Consider the following 7,171-nt stretch of genomic DNA (forward strand, 5'->3'; position numbering starts at 1 on the left):
TGACCTCAAGTAGTCCACCCGCCTCCGCCTCCCAAAGAGCTGGGATTACAGGCATGAGCCTCTGTGCCCAGCCAGAGCATTGCTTTTTAAATCTTACTTCTAGATAATAAAAATTGCTTGAAGTGCCAAATACTAACTCAGTTCCGTAATTAAAAGTATTCCAGTCCCATGTGACAATAAAATCCTCCAACCTGGTTTCGATATTCTCCCCTATCTAAGCTGCTTACAGTGGAGTGGTGCGGGGGCAACTCGGGCAGGGGCCTCTGCGTGCCTCTGCTTCCCCCTTTCATTTACTGGCACCTCTCTGCCTCCCCCAGCCCAATAGCTGTGGCATCTGACCCTCCAAGGCTGGGGCCCGAGTGAGGGGGCAGGGCAGGAGGAGACATAAGGAGACAGGCGCGTTCCACCTGCCGGGGACTGAGCTAAGTAAGACGGCCTTGTGACTTCCTTGTGGCACATTTTCATAGCATCCTCAGAAGCCACGCAGGGAGCACCTGACTGCGCTTGCTATGAAGGGGGAGCGGCAGTGACCTCTAGTGCCCTTCCCATTTCCATGCTGCCTGCCTGTCACTGGCAGGTCCCTGAGCCCTTTCAGGAGGTGGCCTGGGCAGGATTTTCAACGGCTCTAGTCCGGTTGATGAGTTGTCATTCCGCACGCCTCTCCCTGGTCCATGACAAATGGGCACGTCCACACCGGCCCTCGGAGGAAGCAGATGTCTCTCCACCAGTGGCCAGTGTCCCTCGGCCCTGCTTCCCAGCCTCCCCACAGACAGGTGTCAGACCCCAGCGCACTGTGTCCCTCAAGCTCTCGTGTCCCTCAAGATCTCCCAAGGCCTTCTCGGTGGACACTGGGCAAGAAGGACGCTGAGGCTCTGTGAAGAAACTCCCCCTCCCAGAGTCTCTCACAGGTGTTTAGACCCTTGATGTGGGTAAGGGCCCAAGAGTCAGAAAACCAGAGGGTTTTGTTGTTGTTTTTGTTGTTGCTGCTGTTGTTTTGGTTTTTGTTTTTGTTTTTCTAACTCTTTTGTGACTTTGGCATATGGTGTCAAACAGTGGTTCACAACTTTGGGTGCACAGTTGAAATCATCTGGGGTGTTTTAGAAAATGGTGATGTCTGGGTCCCAGCCCCCAGATTCTCATTTAATTGGTCTGGGGTGTGGCCTGGGCCGTGGGATTTTAAAGCTTTCTCTAGGTGATGCTAATGAGCAGCCAAGAATGAGACCAGTGTCCTCAGACTTCAACATGTTTATGAAGTGCCTGGGAGGCTACTGAGCTCCGGGTTCTTGCTCAGCAGGTCTGGCGTGGGCTTGAGAGGCTGCATCACTCCTAGTGATGCTGAGGCTTCTGATTCAAGGACCACACTTAGAGCATCAACGAACTAGAATCTACGTGCCTTGGTAAAACTCTGATTTTTTTTCTAGACTTTATTTATTAGAGCAGTTTTAGGTACCCAGCAAAATAAAATGGAAAGCACAGCGTTCCCATAGAACCCCTGCCCCCACACATGCACAGCCTCCCCCATTATTAACATCCCCCTCCCAGTGGTACATTTGTTACAGCTGATGAACCTGCGCAGACACATCACCCAGAGTCCATAGCTTACTTAGGGGTCACTCTTGATGTGGGACATTCTATGGGTTTGACAAATGTACGGTTGTCCTTTGGCATATGTGGGGGATTGGTTCCCGGACTGTCTGCCACACGCCAAACCCACACATACTCAAGTCCTGCAGTTGGCCCTGCAGAACCCACTTATACAAAAAGTGTACCTTCCTAGAATACTGTATTCTCTATCTGCCCCGGTTGAAAAAAAGCCGTGCATAAGTGGACCCTCTAAGTTCAAACTCATGGTGTTCTAGGGTCAACTGTATTACAGCATGTATCCACCATCATAGCATCATTCTGATTAGTTTCACTGCCCTAACCATCCAGCATTGTTAGGAATAGGAACAATCCCCTATTCTTCCCCCCGCTCCCTACCCCCCTAGTCCCCAGGCAACCACTTAAAACTTAGATTGTTTACATCTTATTACCTATTTAGAATGTTTAAAAATCCTAAGAAGGTATCTTCCTGAACAACTTAGGCAATAATGGCACTACAGCAGAATTTCCCCACTACTAACATTTTGGGCTGGGTAATTCTTTGCTATGGGGGCTGCCCTGTGCATTGGAGGTTGTTTAATTGCATCCCAGTCTCTACCCACTAGCTGCTGGAAGCAATGTTCCCTCTTCCCAACCAACAATGTCTCGACATTGCCTAATGTCCCCTGGGGACAGAATCACCCCCATCAAGAACCACTGATCTAGAGCAACACAAGGAACTTGCAGAATTTTTAAATGTTGTGTCTTTAAAATTTCATTCATTCATGAATTATACTGCTGAGCACCTACTGTGTGCCAAGCAATCCGCCTAGTACTGAGGGATATAAAGGTGAACAAACCAAATGCTTATATAATAATATAACGTCCAGGGGTGATGATTATGTGCAAAAACAAATAAATAAAGCAGGACAAGGAAACTGTGATGGCCTGAAGCAGGGGTGAGCAGGCAGGGAAAATCCTACCAGGAGCGAGGTAGGGAGGGACTCTTTGAGGATGTGATTTTCAAGCGGGAGAATGAAGTGCAGGTGAGTCAGGTGAATATGGGGTGAGGGCAGAGGGTAGGTTGTTTGAAACTGAGGGAAAGCCGGTGCAAAAGCCCTAAGGTGAGAGCTCACTTTAATCCCAGAGCAAAATCTCAGACTAAGCTGAGGATCTGGAGGTGGCAGGACAGGTTTGGAAGGTGATTCTGTCCTGTTCAGGTGGAACCTCACTGTCTCCACTTTTCCCTTTTGCTTTTAGGTCTACGTGATTTGATTTTTCTAGTTCTTCTTTTAAGACACCTTGACCTGTCAAATACAGAGATCCATAAGTTTAAAATCCCCACTATGGATTCATGGATTTTTTTTTATATAATAGCTTTTGCTTTCTATTTTTTAACGAGATGTTACTTGGTTCATAAAAGTTTATGATGTATCTTTATTGTGGATTGTCATTTTGATCAATATAAAATAGCACTCTCTTATTTGCATTTCTCATGCACTACTAATATGTATTTCTGCTCTCTTTTTGTTTGCATTTTGAGTATAATATTTTCCCACTTCTCTGTTTTGCATGTTTCCACTGTATGTTTCTGAAAGAGTATATACTTTGATTTTTTTACATAATCTAAAAATTTTCATCTATTCACAGTAGAATCTCATATGTTGATATTTGTGGTGAAACTTGTATGTTTAGCATTGTTTCTGTAATATTATTTTGTACTTTGTTTTTATATTTCCTTCCTGTTTCTTTTTCTGAATTTACTTAATTGCTTAAATATTTTGGTGTATTTTTCTATAGTAATTTGAAAGTTATGTATACCTGTAGAATAAAACAAAATATTTAAAGCAAAAAAAATTCTACCAATTTTAATAATTAAATAATATCTATAACTGTACTGAAGTAAGATGAGAAATTTAGGACATTTTTCTTTCTTTCTTTCTTTCTTTGCCTATCTTTTCCTCACCTTAAAGTTTTGTCAGAATAATTATTTATTTTGGATTTATGTTCTTTTCCTTCAAGAATTATTTTGAATGTTTGCATTTGGCTTTGTATCCATATTCCAAATGATGATTTAGACATTAACTATTCCTTCCTGGCTGAGTTACTCATGGCTGTTTCTTTTGTATCACTTCTTTCATTCTCTGGTTCTTGATTTTGACTCATTTCTCGGTTGATTGGTGGATCTTTTGGGGTAATGTTTTTAAAGCAGAATTACATGAGTTCCTACATGTCTGAAAATGCCTCTTTCTTGACCTATATATGAGCGACATCATAGCTATGTATAGAATTTTTTCACAATTGTTGTCACTCGAAATTCAGCAGACATTGCTTCATTGTTTTCTGAAATTTAAAGTTGCACAAGTGAAGTCTGGGATGACCTGATTTTTCTCTCTCTCTGTTTCTTTCCTACCTAGATACTGAAAATTGTTTTCCTTTATCCTTAAGCCTTGATGAGTCCTTTTATATTAATGTTGCCCCTTACATCTGATGGCTGACATCTTCCTTCACATCAGAGAAATTTTCTTCTATTATTTATTTGAGTATGGGTATAGTAAATTATAATTAAATGAAAATTTAAAATAGAGACTTTAATGAGTCTATAAAAGCTCCATTGACTCAAAATAAGCTCCCTAAATAAATGTTGAATGAATGAATAAGCAAAGAATGGATGAGTGAATCTTTTTTCTCCATTTTCTTTGTTCTCTTCTTCTTCCTAACATGGCTTTTATGTCTTCCCCCATCTCCATTAGAATTTTCTTCTGATATCTCTTAGAAATTTTCAAGCTACTTTCCTTATTTCATTTGATTTTATGTTATTCATGGCTTACACTTTTTAAATTTTACAGTAGTGATTTTTCATATTTTAACCTTTTCCTTTACAAAAAAATTTTGCAGTTGAGATTTGTTTCTTCTCATGGGTGCAATGAATCTTGTAAAAACTCTAACAAGAGGTATCACATTGTATTTCCTTTTGTTCTGTTTTCTCTGGTTTCTTGCAGTAACTCTTTTCCAAAGGGAACGCATCTGTTTAGTTTCCCTGGATTTGTCCTTGCAAAGCCAGCCTCTAAGATGTCCCTGCAAATTCCCACCTCCTGCCATTCCTGCCCTTCTGTGTTGCCCTCTCTCAATGAACCAGGGCTGATCTGTGAGACCAAGAGTCTCACCATTATGTAGAGGTAATGATGCATGACCCTTGATGCTAGGAGGTCACAGAAGACATTGCAGCTTCATCTTTGTGCTCTCGGATCTCTCACTCCCCAGAAAGCCCACCACCATGTCATGAGGACACTCAAGCAGTCCTGTGGAGGGATCCACCTGGGAAGGAAATAAAGCCTCCTGCCAATGGCCAGCACCACGTTCCAGCTGTGTGAGCGAGTCACCTTGGAAGCAGGTCCTCCAACCCACAGAGCCTTTGGATGACTGCAGCCCCAACCAACAGGTCAGAAGACTGCAACCCAATGAGAGTCCTGGGCCAGGACCACCAAGCCTCTCCCAAATTCCTGACCCACTAATATTGTGAGAGAACATGGTGTTTTATTTTATTATGTTTATTATTGTTTATTATTATTGTAGGCCACCAAAGTTTGAGGTATTTGTTAGGTGAAAATAAATATCTGATACCATCTCCTTCTTTTGAACTCATTGGCCTTTTCAATAAATGTTTGTTTACTTCTGTTTGCTCAGTGTTAGAATTTGACATTGGTTCTGTCAGAGCTTGTGAAGGTTTCTGTTCAAACCTTTCATTCCCAGAGGAGGGAGAAGACAAAAGTTGAGCTATGCGTTAGCTTTATTTTCCCTGACTGGGGTCTGTGAGGTTCATGGTGAGCAGAGGCTTCTATGGCTTAATGAGCCTGGTGCGGGGTGTCTCATCACTGTGTGGAAGGGTTTTCTGAATGGGGATATTTGAACGTCCCTGCTCCACCTAGAAGTGAGCCAGTGAGCTCCCCAGCTCCACTAGCCCTTCCTCTGCCAGCCATGGGGCCACCGTATGGATGTGCTTTCTCGCTTGCACGGACCTCCCCGGCACCTGCATTGCCTCTCCCGGGTGCTGCCACAGGCCCCAGGGATTTCATGGTGTAGGACATTTGAGAGCCAAATGCCCCTTTCCTTCACTGAAGCCCATCATCCAACTAACTCTCCAGACCACATAGTTTAAATTATGTTCTTGACTGAAGTATTAGGGACACCATCAGGAGCAGTAACCAAACAGGAAGAACACACTTGGGGCATAATTTGGCATCATCTTTTACAGCTGAACACATACACATCCTACAAGCTCCTTCTAAAGAAACTAGAATTTGTTCATCAAGAGGTAAGAATGCTCACAGCAGCACTGTTTATGGTAGAAAAAAACTGAAGACAAGCAAATATTCATTAACTGTAGAATGGATAGATAAATCCAAGTATTTTTATTATAGATGGTGGGTTATTATACAGTAGTGAAAAAATGAACCACAACTCCACATGTCAACATGGAGGAATCTCAACACTCACAACGTGGTGCAGAAGAAGCAAGTGAAAGAAAAACGATTCCATTTATAAAATGGCAAGAGTCCCGGCACTTTAAGAGGCTGAGGCCCTTGAGACCAGAAGTTCGAGACCAGCCTAGGCAACACAGCAAGACTCTGTCCCACAGAAATAAAATAAAATAGCAGGCAACATGAAATATTCTTTTGCTTAAGGCTGTATTCCAAGGTGGGAAACTGAGTGATAAACTCGAAATTGGGAGGCCTCAGAAGTTGGGAAGACGCAACCAAAGAGAGCTGTTCTGGGCAGGTGCAAGGCCTGGCAGAGTTAATTTTCTCATCCTGAGAAATTGCTTCATTGGGTATTGAAACAGAAGAAAAAACAGAGTATTTGCTTCATTGTTATTCCTTAACCTGTACACATACAATGTAACAAGTTGAAAAAAAAGATCCTAATCAGCTTCTAGACTCAGATCTTCACAATGCCTGTGTCCTCTAGGCTAGATGTTGGTTCTCCCCCTTCTCCCTCTTTTGAGTCTCAAGCAACTGTCCCTCCCTGTGCCAGAAAATCCCACCCCTGCCCTAGAGGAGCCATGTTAACCAGTTCTTCCAGGGTCCTCAGTCTCCAGAAGCCCCTGTGGCCAGCCAGATTGGCACCAGATTGGCGTCTCTTGGGCCTGTGGTTCACTCCTCCCTGGACTGCCTTGAACACCAGGCAGTTGTTGTGGGAAGTCAGGGACCCTAAACCGAGGGACTGGCTGAAGCCATGGCGGAAGAACATAAATTGTGAAGATTTCATGGACATTTATTAGATCCCTAAATTAATACTTTTATAATTTCTTATGCCTGTCTTTACTGCAATCTCTGAACATAAACTGTGAAGATTTCATGGACACTCATCACTTCCCCAATCAATACCCTTGTGATTTCCTATGCCTGTCTTTACTTTAATCTCTTAATCCCGTCATTTTCGTAAACTGAGGAGGATGTATGTCGCCTCAGGACCCTGTGATGATTGCGTTAACTGCACAAATTGTTTGTAGAGCATGTGTGTTTGAACAATATGAAATCTGGGCACCTTGAAAAAAGAACAGGATAACAGCAATGTTCAAGAAACAAGA

The 7,171-nt window shown here is 42.9% G+C and overlaps 1 annotated feature.

Moving 5' to 3' along the window:
* Positions 527-1,026: an enhancer, noted in NCBI's record as "H3K4me1 hESC enhancer chr2:72332215-72332714 (GRCh37/hg19 assembly coordinates)". NCBI's record gives its function as "activates a minimal SCP1, AML or CMV promoter by ChIP-STARR-seq in naive H9 embryonic stem cells {active_cell/tissue: H9 hESC(naive)}" and the evidence as "EXISTENCE:reporter gene assay evidence [ECO:0000049][PMID:30033119]".

Source organism: Homo sapiens, chromosome 2, assembly GCF_000001405.40.
Source record: "Homo sapiens chromosome 2, GRCh38.p14 Primary Assembly".
Lineage (NCBI taxonomy): Eukaryota > Metazoa > Chordata > Mammalia > Primates > Hominidae > Homo > Homo sapiens.